Below are 26948 nucleotides of genomic sequence, written 5' to 3'. Positions count from 1 at the left end.
GGAACCCATTCGGTAGAATCATATGTTCTCCATCGACCCAGACATTACACAACCTATGCAAATACCCGTTTGAAAACTTTTTTTTTGAGACAAAGTCTCACACCGTCCCCCAGGCTAGAGTGCAGTGGTGCGATCTCGGCTTACTGCAACTTCCACCTCCCAGGTTCAAGCAATTCTCGTGCCTCAGCCTCCCATGTAGCTGGGATTACAGGCACGCGCCACCATGCCCAGCTAATTTTTGTAATTTTTTTAGTAGAGATGGGGTTTCACCATGTTGGCCAGGCTGGTCTTGAATTCCTGACCTCAAGTGATCCACCCACCTAACCTCCCAAAGTGCTATGATTACAGGCCTGAGCCACCACACCCGGCCCCATTTGAAAACTTTTACTAGATGTCCATTTTGTCTCAAGGAGTCCAAAACTGGATTTGAAGAGTATCTCTAGTAGTATACTAAAATTGACTAATATTTAATTTTAAAATTAAAATTTAAAAGCAAGAATTACATTTTTAGTCTTTCTTATGCCCAGTAAAGTTTGAGAAATGCTGCCCAAGGATTAACAAGAGAGGTCCAGAATTCTCGGACTCTGAATTTAAAACTCATACTGTACCCAGAGAACTAGCCCTCCTTTCCATCTGAAACCAAATTGTCTTTAGAGTTACTAAAGAAAGGAAAACTGAGGAAACCATGCCCCATTTGGAAGTCAGGCTTAGGAGGGGGGAAAACAGGACGTTTACAGATTACCTGAAGGGGATATTCTCCTGGCCTTTAGCTATAGGCTCTGTGTCCAGGGCAGCTACAGCTTTAATGCAGCCTCAGAGGGCCCCCAACCCAAGCAGCGTTTCTGTCCTCAGCTCTGAGCTTGATTCAGAGACCTGCATTTGGCTTTGCTTTTCCAGAAAGCAACATGGCTCTTCTCCATTAGCACCAAGCTCATATTCTAGCTATTAGCCAAACAAAGGATCTTCCAAATATAGGCCCCAAAAAGCATGTGCACTTTGAAGGCCACAATAAAGCTTAAATAGCTAAAACTTGTTAAAAAGAAAGCCAACAATTGTCGCCAAAAGTATGAGTCCTTAGCAGAACAGCAAGACAAAAGCCAGAAAGAGGAACAAAAATATGCATTGTAGGGGAGGGGCTGGCAGGGAGGTGTAGATTTATATGGAAGAGTTGACATCATTGTTTCCCAATAATACCCAGCATGCAGGAAACAGATGGGAAAGAAGTGGTGGAAGGGGCTACTTATGGTAACAGGGCATGCTCTCTGTTTAGAATCCTGCCATTTGGAACCTAAGTGTTTTACTTTGAAAAACTGGGGATGGGAACTCAATTGCCAGAAGTTTTATTAAGTCTAACTAAATCCTACTGAACTTATCACCTTGGCAATGCATGGCAAAATGGAGCTCTGCATATCAGACCTGTTTTACTGCTAGCATAGCTGTGTCTCGTTGGGTCAAGAGCAGACAAAGCCATGGAAGGAGAATTTAATGTTGCACAGACACAGCTGGAGTCTTGCTTCTGCCGCTTCCTGGCTGGGTGACAGGAGGCAAGTTACTTAACCTCTCTGAGTTGGTCCTTCTTCATAAGATGGGGACAAAACAGAACTTTCCATATAGTGGAAGACTCTGCAGTTGGACATTTATGCCATACAGATAGATTTAATCAAGAAACAGAGGGTCAGTTAGCACCATTTTTTAAAAGTTTTATTTTATTTTATTTTATTTTATTTTATTTTATTTTATTTTATTTTGAGACAGAGTCTCACTCTGTCACTCAGGCTGGATTGCAGTAGCGCCATCTTGGGTCAGTGAAACCTGTGCCTCCCGGGTTCAAGCAATTCTTTCGCCTCAGCCTCCCAAGTAGCTGGGATTACAGGCGCCCACCACCAAGCCCAGCTAATTTTAACAGAATTCTCCATTCTTCTGTGCTTGGGCAGGGGATAGACAAAGCCAAGATAAGCCAAATCAAAGGTCACTCTTGTTATTATCAGCTGGTTTGCCCTCTCCTGAGGTTAGGTTCACTCCCCCTGCAGCTGAAGGCAGGCTTCTGTCACTGCAGCCAGTCTCAGCCTCACCACTCTAAGTACCCTCAGCTGCCTTTCCCAGATTTTAAGCCCCTTCTTCCCCAGGGTGCAGAAGGGTGTGACCAATTCCAAGTGTCAGGCAAATTCCTGTGGTTTTCTGCCTCTAGAGACCAACCACCCCATCCTCCCATCCTCCCATAGCTGTCATAACTCGGTCAGATGATGTTTGTTTTATAATTTTACTGATTTTTCCCCTGGTGAAAACAACCCACTCTGTCTGATGGTTCTTTCTCACTTGGCTGCCTCACATGTGCACATCCCCTGCTTGCTCATCCTCTACAGCCCTCATTCCATTCTTCTTTGTACTTCTTTTAGTTGTTTTCCCTCTTTGAATCCTTTAGGTCAGGAGCAACTTGAGAGCATCTCTGTAAACCCAACAGTGTCTGGCACGTTAGAATCCCATTACATACTTATTGCATTGAATTGAAAGTCCCATTCCAGATAGGATCTGATTAAAACATGAAAAGAGGCCGGGTGCGGTGGCTTACACCTGTAATCCCAGCACTTTGGGAGGCTGAGGCAGGCGGATCACGAGGTCAGGAGTTTGAGACCAGCCTGGCTAACATAGTGAAACCGTGTCTCTATTAAAAATATGAAAAATTAGCCAGGCATGGTGGTGGGTGCCTGTAATCCCAGTTACTTGGGAGACTAAGGCAGGAGAATCGCTTGAACCCAGGAGGTGGAGGTTGCAGTGAGCCGAGATCGCACCATTGTATTCCAGCCCGGGCGACACTGCGAGACCCCATCTCAACAACAACAACAACAACAACAACAAAAAACATGAAAAGAGCTGGGGAAAGAAATATGCATAATCACACAAATTAGCTCAATTGCCTTCACATAGCCTATAGATTTATGTACGGTTTGCCGGAATCCTAGCTTATATGTCAAGCTGTTTTCTAGTGTCTATGACAGCGAGAGCTGGTATATGTTGCTTTTGAGGGGAGGGGTGACATTCACCCCTCTCCCTCCAGTAGTGGTGGGAAGGGGGCCTACAAGGCATTCTGGGCCAGCATCAGGCCATGGGCGTGGTACCAGGGCCTGGTATGCATCAACCAAGCTTAAACGAGAACAAAGAGTGCCTGAGACTCGATCCCAGAAACTCAGTTGGTTCTGGGGCCTTGCCAAGAATGTGGTTCACACCAAGGAGTGATTGGTGAGGAACTAGGAAAAGGCAGTGTTTCTGGGGAGTTCTGTGCAAAGCCTGGGTCAGTTTCTATTTGGGAGTAGCTATGAACCCCTGTGGGGACCATTAAGCAATTGGATTCCTGATAATCCAGCACATCAGCAATGTGCCTTATCCTGAGCTTCCTAGAAGGGCACAAACACTGGTTTTCTGAAGAAGGAAGTAGGGTCAATGAATCAACTGCTGCATGTCTCACATGGGGCTCACCCTGAGAGAGCCACAGTGAGCTACCAGATCTGCCTTCGGGGGAACTCACCATCGATTTGCATACATAAAGTGTTAGAGAACAAAACAACAGGTAGAATGCATAACAAATTGGGTACACCTGACCCTAAGGCAGTGGGTATTCCAAGAGGTGAAGAAGATGTGGCTGCAGTGGGCAAGGGACCTGGGAGGAAAAGATAGGGTCTGGCTGGGCTTCAAAGCTGGTAGGTTTAGATCCGTGTGTGTGAAATGCACCTTGCAGAGGGTAAAGTGCTATGCAAATGTCCATCGTTATTATGACTCTTCATGGTTTAGGCTGTGGGAAAAACAAAGCAAAGGGAGCAAAATCACTTTTCATAGGTTGTGGCAAAACTGTTAATGCCAAATTATGAAATATGCTATCCTAAGATATGTGGTTCATGCCTGAGACCATGGCCTTAGGAGTCATACAGATCTTGATTTCAATTCTGCCTTTCCCATCTCTATAATCTTGGCATCACTTGGTTAAATCACTCAGTTTTCTCTTTTGTAAAATGGGGATTAAAATGCCCAATTCTTAAAGATACTGAAATATTACTTTGCATGTATAAAGTGACTGGCACAGAGTAAGCAATCAACACAGATAAGTAGCACTTACTACCAATGAAAATAACAACAAGGCCTGATGTGGGACTCAGACTTCATGTCTAAGTCCTTTCTCTTCAAGAGACCTCCTCTTCCTCCTCTTCCCTTCAGCCATTCAGCAGCCTGATGTTTTCATCTTTCTCTATCAAACTCTGCTCTTACAAAAAAAAATCTAGTACCAATACTTATTCTCCTCTGAATTACAGTCAGCCTGTTTGTTCCCAGGGGTTTTAAATGTGAAGCCTTAGTTGAAATTGTATACTGCGGCAAAGTCTAGAGAGACAGAGAGTGCTATCTAGACTCCTGAAGTTCCAGCAGGCTGTGACCCTCACTGAATCAGTACTTGAGGCCAGCCCCTTGGGGGAGAAATAGCAAGATCGGTTCAACTCAAGAGTGTCATTTCTGTTGGTGCATAGGGGGAAACAGCTCAGGAAATTGGGTAGGACATGGACCCATAGTCAAAAAGAAAAATAACTTGAAGCTTGGGGATAAGTATGAAAATGTCACATTGGCTTAAATACACAGCAAGCACTGAATGGGAAGAAAGCTAACTCCCTGTTCCTGGGCCTCAAGGCTGGTCTGAAGGAACCACTAGAAGGAAGTGGAGTCCTGAGATGCAGACGCCAGGGTGGGAAGGCGGCTCAGAGCAAGTGTGGTCTGTTCTGGAGGAAATGAGCAATGGGTAGCCCCAACTAGAAGAGTCTATCACTACTTTGTTCCAGAATCTTTAGCTAGACTTAGCTAATGGCAAGGGAGGTGGCAGGGCAGTGACAGTTCTTATGCCCAGAGTCCTGGAACTTAGAGCCCCATCCCCTTTCTCCACCCACTGCTGCAGAGCCTCACCCACAGCCACAAAAGCCCAGGAAACCTCTCTGCAGCGAGGTGATTCCTGGTAAAAAAAAACAGTCCCCATCAGGTGTTTGAGAACTTGAAGCAGTGATCAATCAACTTTTGGAATTCGGAATGTGTTTCCCCTCACACCTGCTTCCACCCTACAGAAAAGGTTCCCAGGCTAGCCCACAGATGCCTAACAGGCTAAGGGGAGGAGGATGAAGCAAATGCATCAAAAACTACAGCTCTAATGGCACTGGAGAGTGTGTCCACCGCTTACAGCATCAGCTATGGGAAAATGTGTTCCTAGTTTCAACATGTTTCCCTCTGTCCCAGCACAAGAGCAGGCCTTCAGCTCTCCCTCACCCCGCAGACTGTTCTTAGCTTCAGGGTAGGGCTGAGGCAACAAGGGAGTGGGCTTCCTTAGCAGCCCCAAAGCCTGGGCCTCCTGAAGCTGGAAGGCATCTGGATGGCGGCCAGTGCGGGTAGAAAGGGGAGGAGAAAGGGTGAGGCTGTCCCTGTGGCCCAGGGGCTCTTGGCAGAGGTCTAAAGAGTGGGCAGAAGGGAGGCATGTGGAAGTGGCTGTTTCTATTCTCTGTGTGGGTTGTCATCTCCAGACTACACAGAGTAAGTTACAGCTCGGCCTCAAGTTAGCCAGTCAGTTTGCTCCACGTTTAAAGCCTAATTCTCCTTTTTCAGTTCTTCCTGTTTCACTCTGGGAGCCCAAATGCGGAGATGCCCCTCTAAACTTAAGCCCACGAAGTTGCTGTTCTTGCTCCACAAGCTCCACATCCAGGACCTGACTTCTGCTTCAGCTCTGCTGGACTCAGCTGAGGCTGTGTCTTTCTTTCTTTCTTTCTTTCTTTCTTTCTTTTTTTTTTTTTTTGAGATGGAGTCAGTCTGGCTCTGTCGCCCAGGCTGGAGTGCAGTGGTATGATCTCAGCTCACTGCAACCTCCGCCTCCCAGGTTCAAGCGATTCTCCTGCCTCAGCCTCCCAAGTAGCTGGGATAACAGACCCCGCCACTCAGCTAATTTTTTTTTGTATTTTTAGTAGAGACGGGGTTTCACCATGTTGGTCAGGCTGGTCTCGAACGTCTGACCTCAAGTGATCTACCCACTTTGGCCTCCCAAAGTGCTGGAATTATAGGCGTGAGCCACCATGCCCAGCTGTGGCTGTGTCTTAGGCCTTTTGAGGGCCCTTTAATTTTAGGGTGACCTTTAGTTCCTGAGTGTATACTGATGATCCACCCTGCAGTGACTCTGAGAAATCCCTGCATAAATTGGCTTCTTCATTCAGTAGGGCAAGCAACTTGCTTCTTGTCCCTTTTGGTGATGGATTAGCTCCATCTTATCATATCATTTACTCATTTAATTGGAGCCTCATCCACTCAGTCCTGGATGGTAGGTGGTGATGCTAGGTTAAACTCAGGGTGCCATGATAATAGCTACACTTATGGTTTACCATGTGCTTGCCCTCTGTTAAGTGCTTTACCCATATTAACTCATTTATTTTCGTATCAATCTTATTATCATTTCATGAGTGAGGACACTGAGACCCAGGGAGGGTAAATAACTGGCTCCAGGGTCACTCAGCTGGGAACAAGCAAAGTTGGGATTCTATTCCAGGCAGTAAGTTTCCAAAACTCCTAATAGGATCCTCCAGCAGGGGCACCTGCCTCAGGAGGATCGGAGGTTTCCAGAATCTTCCAAAGCTGAGACCCAAAGGATGAAGAGTGAGGCAGGGAAGGTGTGACCACGATGTGCCAGGCAAGCTGCTGGAAAGGAAGCAGCTAAGCCAAAGAAAAAACCCCTGCCTTCATTCTCCATTCAAGGTTAAATCTTTTCTTGAACAGAAAATATTTACCTTCTTTGCTAAGACTTTGCTGCTGTTGATGTTTGAGTATCTTGTCTATTTAATTGGAGATCAAAACTTGCGAATTTTCTTCTTCAGCTTTTCCTTCAGCTATGACAGCTAACTTCAAAGCTTAATTGATCTGAAAGTTTGTTCATATCCCTTAGACTGTAACTTTCTTGAGCTTGCAGCCCATCTTTTTTTTCCACAGTATCTACCACAATGCCTTAATAAATATTTGTTAAATAGATAAAGAAAGAGAATCATTTAGCCTCAGAAATGTAGAAGAGTCACATCTAAAAGTTCCCGTTGCCTTATCCTTGTTCTTTGAAATACCAGGGCTTACTCTCATCAAGCTTAAAGTCATATTTGTAATGGGCACTTATTTGTTATGAACCTTCCCTCTGTCATGCCTCAAATCAAATATATACATTATATATGAAAGATATGTCATATATATATGTTAATGTGTATTTTTCAAGTGCGGTAAGAACTAGGAAAAAAATTTTAGGAATAAAAAGGCTGACGGTTCTTACCAAACATTCAGAAGGTGCGTTCTGAATGGCTAAGGCCGCTTATCCAGGGGAAAATGGTCTGTAATCTGAGCAGAGATTACAACCTGCCTAAGTATCCACATGTTCTAAAAAAGATTCTGATTTCATTGTTCTTAGAGGGGTCTGAGCAACAGCATTTTTTTCTTAAAGCTGTCAGGTAATTCTAATGTGTTGCCATCACTGAGAGCCATGGGGCCAGAGCAAGCAATATCACCTTTTAATTTTTTTTTAAGTATAATTTCCATTTTATTTTTCTAGAGAGAACAGTTTTTCTTCAGCCCTTAAGGACTCAACTCCTTACAAGGGCTTTGGTGGAGGCCGTAGGGCAACACCTGCACATGTAAATCAGGGTGGGAGTGTTTGGTCCTTGCAGGCTTCACGAGATCAATTCCTGACTACCTTGCTGTGAATGGCACAACTCACACAATAATGTAGCTTTACATACAACTTCGGAAGTATATAGGCGGTGAAGACGCTTGCTTCAGAAATGTCCCTGACAGCGGTGGCCTCTACTGTGTTTTGGATGAGGAACTTCTTAATAGCCTTGTCCTTGGGCAGGCATTGGGCGCAGATGGTGCAGCGAACAGGCTGCACGTGGCTGCAGCCCTTTTTGGCACAATCGTCGCCCCTTCTTTTCTTTGTCAGCTTGGAAGCTCGGTATCACTTTTTACCAGGGAGTGGGTAAAATAAACAAAGATTGCTCAGAGGAGCAAGAAAATCCTCAGCCATTAAAGTAAAGCCAACCCAGAGGAAGAAGATAATTTTCCCTATAACTCTCTCTTACTTGTCTCTTGGCTCCTGGCCCCAACCATCTCCAAGCTCTAATAGAAGACCCAGAACACTTGGCATATGAAGGAGAGGTAGGAAACAACCATGGGCACATTATGACCTCGCAGAGCTTCACCCACAACCTCCCAACCACAGACAGCAACATGATGTGGTTTTCGTTATACAGCTGCAAGCAAGGGCCTTCTTATTCAGTGGTCAAGAAAAGAAAAAGAAAACTATACTATTTTCAGCAGCAGCAGTAAGGAAGGGATGATCTCCCTTTATTCCAGACAGGAAGAGAAAGTTAGCTGGTTCCCAGGGGAGAGCTGGGGGTTGGGGGCAGCAGCCACTGTGTTGGAGGGGAAGTGCAAGAGGCTCTTGGCAAGTCTGCCAGGAGCCACTTCATGCCATTCTTGAGTGTTCTTACCTGGCTAAGAGTGTTCATTGCTCCCTTCTTACCAAGTTAGAGAAAAGTGGTCAAAGAAGGGGGAAAATTGGTCCTGGATATCAGGCCCCCCTGTGTAGCCAGTGAGGGGTGATCACAGCAGGGTCTGAAATTGGCATCTATGTAGATACCTGCAGAAATTGCATACACGGTGTGTGTGTGTGTGTGTGTGTGTGTGTGTGTGTGTTTCTAAGGAAAGGGTTTCTGTTTCTCATCAGCTTCCCAAAGATTAAGGTTGACAACTGGCCCTGAGCAATGTCTGCCCTAAGCTGAACACCTATTTGTAAACCACACACCCAGCCTTGTCAGGTTTGTCCAGCTGAAAGTAGCAGGGCTGAGCCTCAGCAAATTACAGAAGCATATGACATTCATTCTGTCTTCAGCCTTTGTCTCTCCAAAGTTCCCACTCAAGCATGTGGCGTCCCCATGTTCAGATGCCCTGAGCATAGCTCATCATCACCCCGCTTTGTCCTCCACTCCAACTCAAGGCTTTCCTTCCCTGTCCAAAGACAGGAGCTCTCTTTGCCTCCCTAAATCTTTGGTCTTCTCCCCTTGTACTCCCAAACCTGAACCTATCTTTCCTCTCAATGCAGGTCTACTGCACCACCTTTGACCTTCAAAGTTCAGTAACCATGATGTCAGTCCAGGGAGCCCTTCTCCAGCCCCCTGGCTCCCAGTTACCACACTGACTTGTCACCCTCAGCATTCTGGGCTGATCTTCCAAGGTGGTGGGCAGAGGGCCAGTTCCCAGCTCAGCTTTTCCTCCCAGAAGCAGAGTCCAGGCCTTGTCTATGAATCAATACATGTTTGGGAGAGTCCACAAAGAAGCAACATTACTTTAGAGAAAACCATTAGCACTGACTTTGTTCATTGATGCTACACTATCACAAATACACAGAAAAAAACCATCCAACTAGTTTTAGCTGAGGGAAAAAATAAATTCTAATTACTCTTATTTCCATAAGCAGTATATTATGCATGTCTAATTTCCGTGTAGCACAATAACAGTGTGTGGATCATTAAGTGGGTCAGTTGCGTTTCCTTTCAAAGCTGAACTCTCATCAGGTATGTTCAGTCTTCAAAGTTTGCTGATCCTGTAGCAGGGCTGTCTGCTTTCAATTTAGGGGGAAAATATCATTAGAAGAGAATGTTGGCTTAGACACAGAAGCCAGGGAGGGCAGAGGAACCTAACAGGCCAGGGAGGGCCCTCCGATCCTTCATGATTAGCTGTACAACCTCAGGCAGGCCAATTTACCCCTCTGGGCTTCTTTTCCCCCTCCCCAGGGTGGGGAACCCGGGGTACTGGTTTGCCATTCTTTTAAGCAGTAGTCTCTGTTTTTTTTTGTCTAAATGAAACATATGCAGAAGCCCAAAATATAAAGCAGGTGAAAGAACAGCTGCCTAAAGCTGCCTTTGACATATCTTCATAGAACCCTGGGGTTCTGGCTCATCCTATAATCTATTAGTTTGTAAGAACGAACAGGGCTGGCAAGCACCCCTATGCAACTCTCACAGATTTGAGGGAGGGGCCAGAATAACACCCGCATGGTGAAAGGTGGCATCCCAGGAGCATTCCTAGTGTACCTGGAGGTTAACTTGAAGGCCCCTGCAAAAATAGGTGAAGAGGAACCTTTCATTGTAAACTTCTGACGATAGTGGTTAAGAGGCATACTTGGAGTTTTCTCACACTCAAAAAAACTCAAACCAAGTGATTTTTATCTCAAATCTACCTCTCCAGATGGTTGGTGAGGATTCAATGAAGTGTTAAGTTATGCATCAATTTCAAAAGAGTCAGTTTTGAAACCTGTGGTTCTCCAAGCTCTAAAATCCTAAGCTATTTGTCCTAATGACACAGCAGACTGAACTCTAGAATACCACAGGAATATCACACCACTGCAAATTACTAGGTGGTGCTGAGTCTCCCAAAACACAGAAGTGAAACAAAAGCATTGCACTGTTTTTGAAATGCATATTCGATATGGACTAATCAAATAGGTTTTGAGATTATTTTCCTGGAGGCAGAATTATTCCGCACGGTTACACAGCCCTTAGTTTTCCCCTTTGTTGTATCTATCTATGTATAAACACATGGCCTATATAGTAGGCTATTTTCCTCTCGCTGAAGCTTCTGAAGACAAGGCCTTTTTGTCAAGGGTAAGTGCAAAACCAGTCAACCTTACAAAAGGAGTCATTTAATGCTCAATTTTCCAACTTTCCTATGATTAAACACTTCTAAGCTCAAACGCTGTTATTGTAATCTAGATGGTGTTTTCTTTCCCCCTTCCCCAACAAATGTTTAAATTGTCTCCGCTGGATTCCCCCATCCCCAACTCCCCCCTACCCCCATCTGACCTTGAAAACAGAGAAGTTTTCCTTTTCTCTACTTACCCTAAACTATTTAAAAATGGAGGCCCTCTGACCTTTTTACAACACTCTTCTTGTCTGACACACCAAATGTTAATCTGAAAGCCAAGAGGAGGGAAAAGGTCTTGCAGGGCGGGGAGGGGGTTGTGGAAAGGGGGTGGAGGTACTATATATTTGGCATCAGCTCAGAAATTCAGAAATGTTTGTGCAACCACTCCCCCAGCCAGGATCCTCCCCCACCCCCCACCCGCAACTGCCTTCTAACACATTAATAAAAAAAGATGTGAGCAGACGAAATTGGAGAGCCCAGGAGGGACAGCTAAGGCGGTCATGATTTTGTACCCAGGCAAGACCACTGATCACCATCCCACATGTCCACCCCTCCTCCCTCCCTTCCAACGTGCCAAGTTTAGGATTGGGACCTCTGCAGCTTCCACCCCCATCCCCTGAGGTGGCCCGGTAAACTTGCGGCAGTACCACCCATTAACAGCTTGTGTGAGGCAAACGGAAGGACTGACACAGCAGCCTCTGCGCGTCGGGACAGCAGCGCTGTGCACCTTAAGAATCGTTTATGTTCTTTAAAAAAAAAAAAGAAAAAAAAGTGCAATGAGCGCACAGGCCTGGAATACATTAACTTGTGAACCGACTCTATCACAACTCGAGAGAGTCCGTCTCTCCCTCAAACAAAAAGAAGGTGGGGGCGGGGGAGAAAGGCCAAGGCACATTACCATCCTGTCCCGAGCTTTCCAGATACTCCGTCAGGTCACAGCCAAACGCGCTGGCGGCTCCCTTTCGTTTCAGCTTCTGCTTAGCACCCTTGTTCTTCATGAGTTAGTCCCAAAGAGGCTGCCCCTCCGTCTCTGCCGCCCCTCTGCTTGGCACCGCTGTAAGATGGGCTCCCGGGCTAGATCACCGGCTGCCCCGCGGCTCTGGGGGGCCGCATCGGAAGATGGAAGAACTTGGGCTGGGGGCCCTGCGCATGGACCCCGCGGGCCGCGGGCCGGCAGAGCCTGAGATCCACCCCGCGCCGCTCCGGGGCCGCCGTGCCGAGGCCGTGCAGACTGGCAGCCGCGGGCCGGCTCGCCTGGGAGTGTCACTTCCTCACTTGGAGTCCTAGGGACTTTCACAGGCTCCTGCGGTGTCTTCGGGTGTTTCTCCTCAGCTTAAGAGGGAGGGCAAGCTCTCCCCACCCCTTACTAAGTGCCCCGGAGACGACGCGGACGCGGGGCGAGGAGACTGCCCAGGGGGCTGCGGTGGGTCCTGCGCCCTGGGCCCGCTGTCTCGCCTTCAGACGACTTTGGTAGAGCGAAAAACAAGCATCCTGTCGCTGCTGCCCGCCCTCACGCCTTCCTTTTTTTCCTGTCTTACAAATCCTAGGATCATCCAGCTCAGGAAATGCTGGAAGGAAGTTAGCTAGGGAGGGGGGCGGTGGGTGGAAATTTTTGGCAGCTCGGTGCTTGTGAGTGTGTGGAGCTAGAGGAAGTAGGTGGGTGGGTTGAGGAGCACGGGGTTGGGGTAGAGAACGCGTTCTCCCGAGAGCAGTTCTGCGACTCCAGAGATAACTGGGCAGCCCCGGAGGAAATCGCGCTCTTCTCGCAGGACCCGCAGCCGCAGCCGCCGCTTCCTGCCCCGCCGAGCCGGCTCTTTGAAGTGGCGGGAGGAGGTGCGCTGGCATTCTGCGGGGACCGTGCTGGTTGGGACTTTCAGAACCCTCTGCCCTGGTTTTATCCTCATTGTCATCGTATCTTTGACACTTTCTATTTCGGTGCCCGCCTGTCTGCTACGCAAATACTTAAAGAGTAATGACAGAGACAAACAGGGGACTCCAGCGGAGAAACCTGACAGGCAGTGGCTTCACGCCGGCCACTCCCATCCCAACCTCCTCTGCAGCGTTCGTGCACCCCCACCTCAGCTCACTCCCCTCCCACTCTGGGGTAAAGATACCCCTGGGCAAAGAGAGGCTGCAGCTTTGTAACCACTGCCCAGGAAATCAGATTTCTGGTTACATATTCAAGACACACACACACACTACTGCAAAGTTTTCTAAATGGAAGTGATTTGGGGGGGACAAACCAGGATTTAAGATGCCTCTGACACATGAAATGTGAAGAAAGCAGTCTCCCAGGTTCTTTCATAATTTGTTTCAAGTTGTTTCAAGAGGGCATGTTTTTTTCTTCTCCAGTTAGATTTTAAATTCTTTAACTTCTGTGTACTCAGCACACAGAAAGCACTCAAATTCTTGTGATTTAACCATTTGAGGATTAGATGAAACTTCCTGTATAAATTCAAATCCATATACAGGCTTGAAGGATAGGGGCATATGTCATACAGCTCAGATTGCTGGCAAAGCTGCATCCGTAGCATTTTAGGTACTGAATCCCTTTACAGTCACTGTCTCTCTATGTAACCTTAACAGTCTATGAACTTTGACCCTTGACATTTTCTCTATGTCAGAGGTCACAACTTGATAGCCACCCTGCCAGATCTGGCCCATAGATGTACTTGGCTGGCAGACACCATGCTTTAACACGTTTTAAAATTAGTAGCTAGCATTAAAAAGTTAAGAGATTTCACATAAAATCTGAATTTCTGGCTTCTCTTGAAAAAATGGAAGATCTAGTTACACCACAAGTGCATTCCCATATGGCAAGGACGGCTGATGCTGAGTTGTGGCAGGCCCCTTGGAGGCACCCTCTTTAGAGAGACGACTCTTGCAGTTTTGCAGACCCCACGGCCTGTCTTCCCCCTTTTGCACCTGCCTGGCCTCTGCTGCCACTTGAGTTTGCAGCCCAACCTCTATGAATTGTCTTTCCTGTTTTTCATTTTCCATCTCTCAGTGACACTGAGAAGCATTTGCCCCAGTCATCTTGGTGAAATGTCTTCAAGTAACCACAGACTCATTTGTCTCCTTCCTCTCCCACCTGCAAGGTAGTCCCGCCCAGACGATGAGCTCTTCACCATGCCTCTCAGCTTGGTTTATTCCTTTCCAGGCCCACTCAGTGAGGACCATCCACTCCTCAATTATTAAAGTAACTCCTAGTGGGATTTGTTGAGTCCAATCTCCTCCACTTCCTCCATCCTATGTATTAAAAGCTTGAGGAGTCATCTTGAAGGATTGCTGTTGTTATATGCCTGCCTGCCTTGCTGAAAACCTTTCAATAGCTCCCCAGTCCTACTTTTAGGGCAGCAATTTCTAAGCATTTTGTAAACTGCTTGGAGAGTATCTGATAAGGTATTTGGTACAATGGCTTGTTCCTCCCTTTATTTATAGAGAAGCAGCTCCATATGGGACTATAATGATCACTATTAGCATTTGCTTAGCAGTTTACTTCAGCAAGGACTTTTGCATTCATTCTTTCATCTGACTTACGTGGATTTCATCATCTTGTCAGCAAAAGAGAGAGGCTGAAAGAGCCCCTTTTCTGAGTGCAAATAATGGAGAAATTGCCAAGCCCTGTTAATTACCTTTTTAAATATTTCAAAACTTCCTTTTAATGTTTCACTTTCAAGTAATTCCAGCTTATAAATAATTTACAGGCCGGGCGCAGTGGTTCACGCCTGTAATCCCAGCACTTTCGGAGGCCGAGGCGGGCAATCACGAGGTCAGGAGATCGAGACCATCATGGCTAACGCGGTGAAACCCCGTCTCTACTAAAAATACAAAAAAATTAGCCGGGCATGGTGGTGTCGGGCGCCTGCAGTCCCAGCTACTCGGGAGGCTGAGGCAGGAGAATGGTGTGAACCCGGGAGGCGGAGCTTGCAGTGAGCCGAGATGGTGCCACTGCACTCCAGCTTGGGTGACAGAGCGAGACTCCGTCTCAAAAAAAAAAAAATTTACAAAAAAATAGTCAAGGAATTCCCATATACCTTTCACCCAACTTCCCCAAATATTAATATCTTATACAATGAGAGTATAGTTATCAAAATTAGAAAGTTTATATTGATACAATAATATTAATCAATCAACAGACTTTATTCAAGTCTGAATTAATTTTTAAATTACATACAATTTTTATTAAATATGGTCTTTCTCATAATGAAGGCTATCAGTTAAGCATGCAAACGATAATTTACAAGTAATTCTCAAAATACTTCAAAAATACTTCATAGTATAACTTTAGCTATGTACAAAATCCCCATAATCACCATCAAACCCGGCAGTTGTAGTTTGTTGAAAAACAGGGCTGTCTAGGTGAAGCAGTGAGGCCAGTTAGTGACCTTAACATAGCCCTGAGATTCTTCTATGCTTTACTTAGAATTTCCCCGAATGCCTCTGGCATCATAGGATTTTCAACCTGGAATGGCCTGATGGACGTTTTGATCCCTGCTTCATGTTAAGTTGGGTTCAAGTTTGTAAGAGTTCAAGATGGAGGTAATACTGAGCACCTAGCAAAGTGTTTATTATTCCTGTGCTGATTAAACAAACCTTATCTGAAATGTACACGTGATATGCATTTCAAGGTTATCTTGATGATAACTCAGTTATTCACACCAAATGGTGGGATGAGTTCACAATATTTCAACCGAGATAATGAAGTCACATGGTGACAACCTGATTTGGGGAGTTGGAAAGCTGTCCCCCTCCCCATTTGTTTTCTGCCCCCTCTTAATGTTGAGTATGTCCTGCGATAGATGCCAAACTTGAATCTAGTGCTTGTTTTAGATTTTTTTTTTTTCCAATTTTTCTTTCTCTTTTCTTCCTCTACATATCTCTTTCTCTTCCCATTTTTTTTTCTTTCTCCTTGCTTATTCTAAGCAGAGTCTTTTCTGGGGCTATAGAAGAAAATCTGATTTGGTTCCAAAATCTGATTTCTGTTTGGCTGAGCATTACCTAAGAAACAAGCTGGTATGGAGATAATGTAGGAATGTTAACAGAAAGACTAATTGAGAAGCCATTTGGTGATCATATAAATTATGCCTTTAGCAGACTGTCATGGTGCAATTTACTGGAAAAGCTCTTTGCTCACACAGAGATACCTCAGAATTCTGTTGCTGCCTATGATCCCTCTTACCTGCACTTATTGAGGACTGATGCCTGTCAACATGAGCTATCTGTTTCCTTCATCACCAAGGATGGTAACAACCTTCTCTCCTGTAAATAAAGAGATGTAGAAAAGCAAGATGACTGACTTAGAGATATGCCTGGCATTCATCCCCCTGAAAATAAAGGACCAAGGCAACAAATAAACAGCTAAGATTTTACTGAAGTGTCAAAAGCAGAGTGCTGGAGTGCAGTAGGGGAGTGGCGATGGACCTGTGGTGATTGGAAGTCCAGGAAGGCAGCATGAAGACACAGAGCCTTTGCATCCCCATCTCTTTTGCCCAAATCTGATCAACCCATAGACAGGAGGGATTTCCTATTGCAAGGAAAAGGGAAGCAGATGATCTCTATCAGCCCCTATTACCATTGCAAACATCTGCAGTCTTTTTTTTTTTTTTTTTTTTTGGAGACAGAGTATCACTCTGTCACCTAGGCTGGAGTGCAGTGGTGTGATCTCAGCTCATTGCAACCTCTGCCTCACCGGCTCAAGCAATCTTCTCGCCTCAGCCTCCTGCATAGCCAGGACTATAGGCGTGCACCACCATGCCTGGCTAATGTTTTGTAGAGATGGGGTTTTCTCATCTTGCCAAAGGTTAGTCTCAAACCCTTGGACTCAGGTGATCTGCTTGCCTCAGCTTCCCACATTGCTAGGATTATAGGAATGAGTGACAAGGCCCAGCCTACAGTCCTTACAACAGGAGAATTCCACAGTCCTCACAAGCCCTGAGCCCAGTTGGGAGAGCTGATGGAAATTCACACAACTACGTGGCCCTGATTAAGAGCACAAGGTGTGCACTCCTCATTCACACCCACCCTCTGTGAGCCAAGCTGCTGCAGCATGGTACCATCTTGAGACCAGAGCTACCTCTGGAGTGTGCCCTGCTCTGATGGCCAGTAGCCACTGCACTTCCCTAGCACTGGGGCTCCATCTTCATTGCACCAAGCCCATATGGGTGGCTGAATGCCACAACCCCAGCTGTATGGAGATTGGGCCAAGGATCAGCTGTGACTCTGGTCCTACATAGCAGGGAAACCAACCCCTGTCACTGCAATTCTAGAAGGAGGAACTGTCTGCCAGTCCTGCCCAGGGTGAAACCACCAGTGAGCCAGCCAAACCACTACATATCCTCCCCTGAGTGGGAGAGGCCCCTGAGCCTCCAGGCATCTGATATGTTCCCAGGCCAGTGAAGTGGCTACACATCCATGCTCAGGACCTGAGAAACAGCCCCGCCGTGTCCCCAGAGCCTCTACCCTACCATGCCCCAGCCTGCCCAATGGCCCTGCACTCCCTAAAAGGGCCTGAGAAATAGTCCTGAAGGTCACTCCTGGTAAGCATGCCCCCAGAACACTCAAGTCACTAAAAGTCCATGTCTCAGACCTGAGAAATAGCCCCATGGGCTGCCACTGGCAGACACACCCCAGACTAGACAAGTAGCCATACATTTGCATACTGGACCTGAGAAACAACTGCATCGGCTGCCTCTAGTGTGCACGCCCCTGAGCTAGCTGAGCAGCCTTGTGCCTGTGTCCCAAATCTGAGAAGTTTCCTATGGGCCACTCCTTGGCAACACACCCAAGGCCAACCAAGCCTGAAAAACAGCCCCATGGATTGCCCTCTACAGACAGGCTGGCCAAGCAGCCCTGCACCTGTGTACCAGGACTGAAAAAGAGCCCCATGGACCATCCTGGCAAGCACACCCTCAGACCAGCTGAGCAGCCTTACATCCATGTTCTGGGCCTGAGAATCACCCCTTCTGGCTACCCGTGGCAGACATATTTCCAGCTCAGCCAAGCAGCTGTATACCTGCATCCCAACACTGAAGAACACTCCTGGCAGGCATGCACTCAAACTGGCTGAGCAACCATGTGTCTATGCTCCCAGCCAGAGTAACAGCCCTGTGGCCCCAACCTTAGTGAGCAAGACCACAAATCAACAAACTCATCACTTGTATACATGTACCCTCAACCTGAGAAACAGCCCAGCAAGCCCACTCCTGGCAAAACCATAGCACAGTCACCACAAACTCTCTCAGCCTAGGCCACTGAGAAACTTGCAAATGCCACTAGTATGGATTACAGCTGAAGAAACTACACCGAGACTATACGACTGTGTCCACCTACAGTCAAGGTCAACATACCCCACCAAACTGACACCCAAGACCCATTCATACAAATAAGTCTTTCCCTATGAAGCCTTCTCCAAAAAAATAGAAGAGGTGACTTTTCCACCAGATGTGTAGAAATCAATGTAGGGACATATCAACCATGAAAATAAGAAAACATATTACTCCTAAAGGAAAATAGTAATTGTTTAGTAACAGATCCCAATCATAAGGACATATGCAAAATGCCAGAGAAATAATTCAAAATAATAATCTTAAGGAAACTCAGTAAAATACAAGAGAATACAAATGGACAATTCAGCAAAATCAGGAAAACAATTCATAATCTGAATGAGAATTTCAGCAGAGATAGATATCATAAACAAGAACCAAACAGAAATTCTAGAGCTGGAGAATTCCATGCAAGAACATCAACCAAGAAGATATTCCATGCAAACAGAAACCAAAAGCAAGCAACCAGACAAAAAGGACTTCAAGTTAAAAGCTATAAAAAGAGACAAAGAAGATCATTATACAATAATGAAGGAAATAAAAAATGCAATTGAGAGCTTCAGCAATAGGCTAGAAGTTGAAGTTATGTCTTTTGAAATAATACATGCAGGAAAGAAAGAAAAGGAGAAAGAAGGAAAGAAAAGGAGAAAGAAAGAAGAAAAAGAAAGAAAGAAGGAAAGAAAGAAAGAAGAAAAAGGAAGAAAAAGAAAGAAGGAAGAAAAGAAAAAAGAATGAAAAAGAGTGAAGGAAGCCTATAGGATTTATGGAACACTATTAAGTGAACAAATGTTTGTATTATGGGCATTCCAGGAGAACAAAAAGAAGAAGATGAGTAAAACATATCTAATGAAACCAAAGCGGAAAACTTACCAAGTCTTGGGAGACAGATGATGGACTTTCAGATCCAGGAAGCTCAAAGAACCCCAAAGAGATTCAATTTAAACAAATCCTCTTTGAGGTACATTATAGTCAAATTTTCAAGATTCAAAGACAAAGAATTTTAAAAGGAGCAAGAGAAAGGTATCAAGTCACACATAAGGGAATCTCTGTTAGATTATTATAAATATTAGTGGATTTATCAGCAAAAACTTTATAGATCAGAAGACACTGTGGTGTTCAATTCCAGATACTGAAGGACAAAACTGCCACTCAAGCATATTGTACCCAGCAAAGCTATCCTTTACAAATGAAGGAAATATAAAATTTTCACAAACAAGCAAAATTTAGGGAATTCATCACCTCTAAACTGGTCTTACAAGAAATCCAAGGGAGTCTTACATCTGGAAGTGAGAAGATGATAACCACAATCATGAAAGCAGGCAAAACTTATGTAAAAAAAACCTCTGTTAGAGCCAATACACTAAAGGGTAAGGAAAAAGGAATCAAATCTTATTACTACAGAAAACCACCCAACCACAAGAGTAAACAATAAGAGAGGAAGCAAGGAACAAAGGATATACAAAACAATCAAAAGACAATAAAATGACAGGAGTAAGTCCTCACCTGTCAATAATAACCTTAAATGTAAATAGATTAAAGTCCCCATTTAAAAGATATAGATTGGCTGAATGCATTAGAAACCCAGACCCAACTATATGCTGCCTACAAGAAATCTATACAAAGACATACATAGCCTGAAAGAGAAGGTATGGAAGAAGATAGTCCACGCAAATGGAAATCAAAAGCAAGCAGAAGTAGCTATATTTGTATCAGACAAAATAGACTTCAAGTTAAAAGCTGTAAAAAGAGACAAAGAAGGTCATTATACAATAATAAAAGAATCCATTCAGCAAGATAATATAACAATTATAAATATATATGCACTCAACACTGCAGCACCTAGATATATAGAACAAATATTATTATATCTAAAGGGCAAGATAGACCCCAATACAATAATACTTTGGGACTTCAACACCCCACTCACAGCATTGCACAGATCATCTAGACATAAAAAAAAAAAAAACATCAGATTTAAACTGCACCATAGACCAGGTAGACCAAACAGGCATTTACAAAACATTTCACCAAACAGCTGCAGAATACACATTCTTTTTAGCAGCACATTGAACATTCTCCAGGTTTGACCATGTATTAAGACACAAAACAAATCTCAGAAAATGTTAAAAAAATTAAAATCATATCAAGTATCTTACTGGACTACAGTGGAATAACACTAGACACTATAACAATATGGATATTAAAAACTATAGAAATTCATGAAAATTAGGCTACTTGCTCCTGAAGAACCAATAGATGAAAGAGGAAATTAAGAATGAAATTTAAAAATTATTTGAAACAAATGAAAATTGAAATATAACATACCAAAACCTATGGAATGTAGCAAAAGCAGTGTTAAGAGGGAAATTTAGAGTACTAAACACCAGCATCAAAAAAATAGAAAGAGTTCAAATAAACAACCTAACAATGCACCCCAAGGAACTAGAAAAACAAGAACAAACCGAATCCAAAGTTAGTAGAAGGGTAGAAATAATGAAGATCAGAGCAAAATATTTAAACACTGAGACTAAAAAACAAACAAACAAAATCAATGAAACAAAAAGCTGTTTTTTTAAAAAAAAGAGATAAACAAAATTGACAAACCATTAGCCAGACTATTAAAAAAAGAGAGAAGACCCAAATAAAGAAAATCAGACATGAAAAAGATGTCACAATGGATACCACAGAAATATAAAGGCTCATTAGGGATTCTATGAATAGCTATATGCTGAAAAATTAGAAAACCTAGAGAAAATGGATAAGTGCCTGGACACATACAGCCTACCAAGATTGAATCAAGAAGAAATAGAAAATCTGAGCAGGCTAGTAACATGTAATGAGATTGAATTAGTAATTAAAAAAAAATCTCCCAACAAGGAAAAGTCTAGAATGGGATCCCTTCACCACTGAATTCTACTGAACCTTTAAAGAAGTACTAATGCCAGTTATCCTCAAGCAATTCAAAAAAAAATTGAAGCAGAAGGAATTCTTCCTAACTCATTCTATGGGTATAGCATGACCCTGATACCAAAACCAGACAAGGACACAATTAAAAAAAAGAAAACTGCAGGTCAATATCTCTGATGAACATAGTCACAAAAATCCTCAAAAAATAGTAGCAACCCGAATCCAACAATACATCCAAAAGATACTACACCATGATCAAGTGGGATTTATCCCAAGGATGCAAGAATGGTTCAACATGTACAAATCAATAAATGTCATATATCACATCAGTTAAATGAAGGACAAAAACTATATGATCATCTCAATAGATGCAGAAAAACATTTGATAAAATTCAACAGTCCTCCATGATTAAAAACTCCTAGTAAAGTAAGTATAGAAGAAAAGTATCTCAACATAATAAAGGCCATATATGACAAACCTACAGCTAACATCTTACTCAACAAGGAAAAGCAGAAAACGTTTCCCCTGAGAACTAGAACAAAACAAGGATACCCATTTTCACCACTCTTATTCAAAATAGTACTGGAAGTCCTAGCTAGAGCAATTAGGCAAGAGAAAGAAATAGAGGACATCCAAATTGGAAAGAAATAAGTCAGACTGTCCCCATTTGCAGATAATGATTTTACATATAGAAAGACCTAAAGACTCTATCAAAAAACTTTTAGAACTTGTAAGTTCAGTAAAGTTACAGTATACAAAATTAACATACAAAAATCAGTGGTGTTTCCATACACAAACAACAAAGTAGCTGAAAAAGAAATCAAGAAGGCAATCGCATTTTCAATAGCTACAATAAAAAATCTGAAAATAAATTTAACCAAGGAGGTAAAAGATCTCTACAAAGAAAACTACAAAACACTGATGAAGGAAATTGAAGATGGTACAAATGGAAAAACATCTTATGCTCACTGATTAGATAAATTAACATTGTTAAGATTGCTCAAAGAAATCTATATATTCAATGCAATCCTATCAAAATACCAATTACATTCCTTATAAAAATAGAAAAAAAATCCTGACATTTCCATGGAACCACAAAGATCCCAAATAGCTAAGGCAATCCTAAGCAAAAGAAACAAAACTGGGGGTATCACACTATTATATCTCAAAATATACTACAAAACTGTAGTAGTACAGTTTTTTTAACAGTAAAACAGCATGATACTGAAATAAAAACAGACATTCAGACCAATGGAACAAAGTCAAGATCCCAGAAACTAATCCATATATTTATAGCCAACTAATTTTTGACAAAGGCGTCAAGAATACTCACTGGGTAAAGAAAAGTCTCTTTAATAAATGGTGCTGGGGAAACTGGATATCTACATGCAAAAGAATGAAAATAGACCCTCACCATGTACTCTCTATAAAAATCAACTCAAACTGTATCAAAGACCTAAATGTAAGACCTGAAACAATAAAACTACTAGAAGAAAACATAGGGGATGTGCTTCAGGACATTTGTCTGGGAAAATATTTTGTGAATAAGATCTCAAAATCCTAGCCAACAAAAGAAAAAAAAATAAATGAAATCACAGCAAACTAAAAAGCTTCTGTACTGCAAATGAAACATTCAACAGAGTGAAAAGACAATCTATAGAATGGGAGAAACTATTTACAAATTACTCATCTGACAGGGAATTAATATCCAGAATATACAAGGAACTCAAATATCTCAACAGCAAAAACAAACAAACATTCCAATTAAAAAATTAGCAAATGATCTGAACAGACATTTCTCAAAAGAAGACATAGAAATGGCCACACACCCAGTAACCTCTATTTTAAAGGTGCTTGTATTAGTCCTTTTCACACTACTATAAAGAACTACCTGAGATGGAGTAATTTATGAAGAAAAGAGGGTAATTGACTCACAGCTCTGCAGGCTTAACAGGAAGCATAACTGGGAGGCCTCAGGAAACTTACAATCATGGCAGAAGGTTAAGGGGTTGCAAGTCATATCTTCCCATGGTGGAGCAGGAGACAGAGAATGAGGGAGGGAAGTGCCACACTTTTAAATCATCAGATCTCATGAGAATTCACTTACTATCATGACAACAGCATGGGGGAAATCTGCCCCCATGATCCAATCACCTCCCACCAGGTCCCTCCCCTGACACATGGTGATTACAATTTGACATGAGATTTGGGTGGGGGCATAAAGCCAAACCATATCATTCTGCCCCTGGCCCCTTCCGAATCTCATGTCCTTCTCACATTGCAAAATTAATCATGCCTTCCCAACAGTCCCTCAAAGTCTTAACTCATTCCAGCATTAACTCAAAAGTCCAAGTCCAAAGTCTCATCTAAGACAAGGCAAGTCTCTTCTGCCTATGAGCTTGTAAAATCAAAAGCAAGTTAATTACTTCCAAGACACAATGGGGGTGTAAGCATTGGGTAAATGCTCCCATTCCAAAAGGGAGAAATTGGCCAAAACAAAGGGGCTACAAGGTCCATGAAAGTCTGAAACCTAGCAGGGCAGTCATTAAATCTTAAAGCCCCCAGATAGTCTATTTTGACTCTGTGTCTCACATCCAGGCCACACTGACACAAGGGGTGGTCTCCCAAGGCCTTGGGCAGCTCCACCCCTGTGGCTCTGCAGGGTACAGTCCCCATAGCTGCTTTTATAGGCTGGCATTGAGTATCTGTGGCTTTTCCAGGTGAACAGTGCAAGGTCTTCACGGATCTACCATTCTGGGGTCTGGAGGACAGTGGCCCCCTTTTCACTGCTCCATGAGGCAGTGCCCCAGTGGGGGCTCTGTGTGGGGGTTCCCACCCCACATTTTCCCTCCAGACTGTCCTAGTAGAGGTTCTCCATGAGGGCTCCACCCCTGCAGCAGACTTCTACCTGTACATCCAGACATTTTCATACATTCTCTGAAATCTAGGCAGAGGTTTCCAAACATCAATTCTTGCCTTCTGTGTACCTGCAGGCCCAATACCACATGGAAGTCACCAAGGCTCGGGGCTTGCATACTCTGAAGCAATGGGCTGAGCTGTACCTTGGCCCCTTTTAGCCACAGCTGGGGCTGGAGCAGCTGGGACTGAGGTGCCAAGTCCCAAGGCTGCACAGAGCAGCGGAGCCCTGGGCCTGGCCCATGAAACCATTTTCCCTCCTAGGCCTCCTGGCTTGTGATGGGTGGGGCTTCTGTGAAGATCTCTGACATGTCCTGGAGACATTCCCCATTGTCTTGGCTATTAACATTTGGCTCCTCTTCATTTATGCAAATTTCTGCAACTGACTTGAATTTCTCCCCAGAAAACGGGTTTTTATTTTTGACCACATGGTCAGGCTGCAGATTTTCCAAACTTTTATGCTCTGCTTCCCTTTTAAACATAAGTTTCAATTTCAGACCATCTCTTTGTGAATGCATATGACTGTATCCTGTTAGGAGCAGCCAGACCAAATCTTGAATTTTTTGTTGTTTAGAAATTTCTTCTGCCAGATACCCTATATCATCTCTCTCAAGTTCAAACTTCCACAGATCTCTAGGGCAGGGGGAAAATGCCACCAGTCTCTTTGCTAAATCATAGCAAAAGTGACCTTTACTCCCAATAAATTCCTCATCTCCATCTGAGACCATCTCAGTCTGGACTTCATTGTCCATGTCACGATCAGCATTTTGGTCAAAACCATTCAACAAGTCTCTAGGAAGTTCCAAACTTTCCCACATCTTCCTTTCTTCTTTGAGCCCTCAGAACTGTTCTAACCTCTGCCTGTTACCCAGTTCCAAAGTCGCTTCCACATTTTCAGGTATCTTTTTAGCAGAGCACCACTCTCCTGGTACCAATTTTCTGTGTTAGTCCATTTTCACACTGTTATAAAGAACTACCTGAGACTGGGTAATTCATGAGGAAAAGAGGTTTAATTGACTCACAATTCTGCAGGCTTAACAGGAAGCATAACTGTGAGGCCTCAGGAAACTTACAATCATGGCAGAAGGTGAAGGGGAAGCAAAGCACATCTTCTCATGGCAAAGCAGGAGAGAGAGAGTGGGCAGGGAAGTGCCATATGTTTAACCATCAGATCTCATGGGAACTCACTATCATGAGAGCAGCACGGAGGAAATTCATCCCCATAATTTAATCACCTCCCAACAGGTCCCGCCCTTGACACATGAGGATTATAATTTGACATGAGACTGGGTGGGGACACAGAGTCTAATAATATCAGTGCTTATGTGGTATCTAGTATTGAGATCAATTGTTAGATGATGCTCTCCTATTAGAGAGGACTTATGCACCCCCTTAGTCCAGGCACCAATGTCATGGGATTCTGAAGCTAGTAGAAGATGCACTTGACCAGAGCAAAAGATCTTCTAAAAAGTTGTGTATCCCAAGTCCATTATTGCATTTCCCTGTGCATCAGTTTCCAGATTACACTGCAAATTGTTGCTTCTAAGTTTCCAAATTAAGCATACTTAGTGGACTGGAGCAGGGAGGTCTACATTATCAATCCTTAGTCAAACAGTACTGAGTGGAGGAGAAGTTAACTTGATGGGAAAGAAGAAATGAGAATCAGAATCAGTTTCCTATCCTGACCACCTGACTTCCCATTGCTCCACCATCTCTGCAATTATTAAAGCCAGTTTTCCTTCTAAAAGGACTTCCAAGATCAAGCAGCTGCCATGATAAGAATGGAGAAAGAGAAGGGCTTTAAATGACTTCACTCCCAGCCTAAAAGTTGAACAGATCTAGTCATTATTAAACATAACTTCTTTATCTCTTTCTCTCTCCTCTCCCTACATTGAATATTATAGTTCCCAGAGTTGCAAAGCTGCATTAGTTAGGGCAAAAAAAGCACTGGGAGACTGCTTTATATCCTCACTTCCCCAGCTGAGAACATAATTCAGTTACTTTACCATCAACTACCAATTTTGGGGTAGAAAGGGTGATGTAAAGTGAATAGCAAGAAAGAATAAGACTCGATGATAAATGAAGTATTATTTTTTATAGTAACCGTGCATTTATCAGGGACCCTAACTGCTAACTCAAAATCTCAGACATTTATTTAAAAGACTAGATGTAGGAGACAGTAGAGTCCAAAACCTCTCCGGGTTTATAAGACTGGGGACTGGTAAGAGTAAAAACTGTTTTTTTTTTTTTGGAGAATGATAATACATACTTCTCTACACATCAAGGGCCATATCAGAAATTTCAGGAGGAAATGTCCTTTGATAGTATAAAATGCAAGACTGAGGAGAAGCTGAGAAGTTAGGACTAGAGATTAGATGAGACATCAGGATAAATTATTTGAAATTATTTGAGAAATAAGTTTTTCCTCACCAATATTTTACTTATGCGCTAATTTCTTTGTATTGAATAGTATTCAAAAATAGAGGTTTGGAAATCTTTTGTGTTCTATAGTGTTTAAAAAACCATAATGACATTTGACCCATATGCACAGTTGTAGCATTAAATCAATCTTCAATGTTTCAGAAATGAACAAACCAGGCAGTACAAGACCCCCTTGTCCCACTCCACCATGGGCACTAGACACTGCCAAACAGCAGCGGGACACTTCCTTCCTAGAGTCACATGTGGACGAGAGACTTCACAAGGCCTGAAAGAGCCAAGTGCTGTGAGTGGAATTATTATTATACCAATGCCTGAATCTGCACAGCGTCTTGCATTAGGCTTTAAGTCTGAATCTGGATCCATTTGGGTTAAGATTTGTGTCCAGTGGCCCAGAGGGAAGAAGCCTGGCAGGGTGTGTCCCAAGGACCTCACATTGGATTCTGGGGTCCCTCTCAGCAGCTGGGTTTGAGATGATTTCTCTTGCCTCTTGTGCTGTATCTTTGGAGTTCCCACACTGGACAGAGTCTTTGGGTAGAAAAACCTTCATCTCTCACAGAATACAGCAGTCCTCAGGAAAGAGAATGAACTGTCCATTTGACTTATTTTTAATAATCTTG

General features: G+C 43.6%; 1 protein-coding gene, 1 long non-coding RNA gene and 1 pseudogene across 3 annotated transcripts in view, besides 5 other annotated features; all 3 read right to left on the bottom strand.

Moving 5' to 3' along the window:
* ARHGAP31 (Rho GTPase activating protein 31) overlaps positions 1-12260 on the bottom strand; it is a 126332-nt gene extending 114072 nt beyond the window's left edge. For both annotated transcript variants that reach the window (NM_020754.4, XM_006713714.4), the window contains exon 1: positions 11639-12260. In NM_020754.4, coding sequence (NP_065805.2) covers positions 11639-11738 — 100 coding nt within the window. In that variant the 5' untranslated portion in view covers positions 11739-12260. The remainder of the gene's footprint in view (positions 1-11638) is intronic.
* Positions 1027-1321: a silencer, noted in NCBI's record as "tiled region #6621; HepG2 Repressive non-DNase unmatched - State 24:Quies". NCBI's record gives its function as "represses a minimal TATA promoter and a strong SV40 promoter by Sharpr-MPRA in HepG2 cells {active_cell/tissue: HepG2}" and the evidence as "EXISTENCE:reporter gene assay evidence [ECO:0000049][PMID:27701403]".
* Positions 3511-3730: an enhancer, noted in NCBI's record as "active region_20297". NCBI's record gives its function as "activates an Ori minimal core promoter by ATAC-STARR-seq in GM12878 lymphoblastoid cells {active_cell/tissue: GM12878}" and the evidence as "EXISTENCE:reporter gene assay evidence [ECO:0000049][PMID:35858748]".
* On the bottom strand, positions 7631-7978 carry RPS26P21 (ribosomal protein S26 pseudogene 21; annotated as a pseudogene).
* Positions 8859-8928: an enhancer, noted in NCBI's record as "active region_20296". NCBI's record gives its function as "activates an Ori minimal core promoter by ATAC-STARR-seq in GM12878 lymphoblastoid cells {active_cell/tissue: GM12878}" and the evidence as "EXISTENCE:reporter gene assay evidence [ECO:0000049][PMID:35858748]".
* Positions 11828-11947: a silencer, noted in NCBI's record as "silent region_14627". NCBI's record gives its function as "represses an Ori minimal core promoter by ATAC-STARR-seq in GM12878 lymphoblastoid cells {active_cell/tissue: GM12878}" and the evidence as "EXISTENCE:reporter gene assay evidence [ECO:0000049][PMID:35858748]".
* Positions 12788-12837: an enhancer, noted in NCBI's record as "active region_20295". NCBI's record gives its function as "activates an Ori minimal core promoter by ATAC-STARR-seq in GM12878 lymphoblastoid cells {active_cell/tissue: GM12878}" and the evidence as "EXISTENCE:reporter gene assay evidence [ECO:0000049][PMID:35858748]".
* The window catches only part of B4GALT4-AS1 (B4GALT4 antisense RNA 1), a 64181-nt gene continuing 53209 nt past the window's right edge, over positions 15977-26948 (bottom strand). Inside the window, exon 4 of the long non-coding RNA NR_046574.1 lies at positions 15977-16002. This is a non-coding gene — a long non-coding RNA (B4GALT4 antisense RNA 1). The remainder of the gene's footprint in view (positions 16003-26948) is intronic.

The sequence above is a fragment of the Homo sapiens genome, chromosome 3 (assembly GCF_000001405.40).
Source record: "Homo sapiens chromosome 3, GRCh38.p14 Primary Assembly".
Classification (NCBI taxonomy): domain Eukaryota; kingdom Metazoa; phylum Chordata; class Mammalia; order Primates; family Hominidae; genus Homo; species Homo sapiens.
The sequence above is the reverse complement of the archived record's forward strand: the minus strand, read 5'-3'. Positions and strand labels throughout refer to the sequence as shown.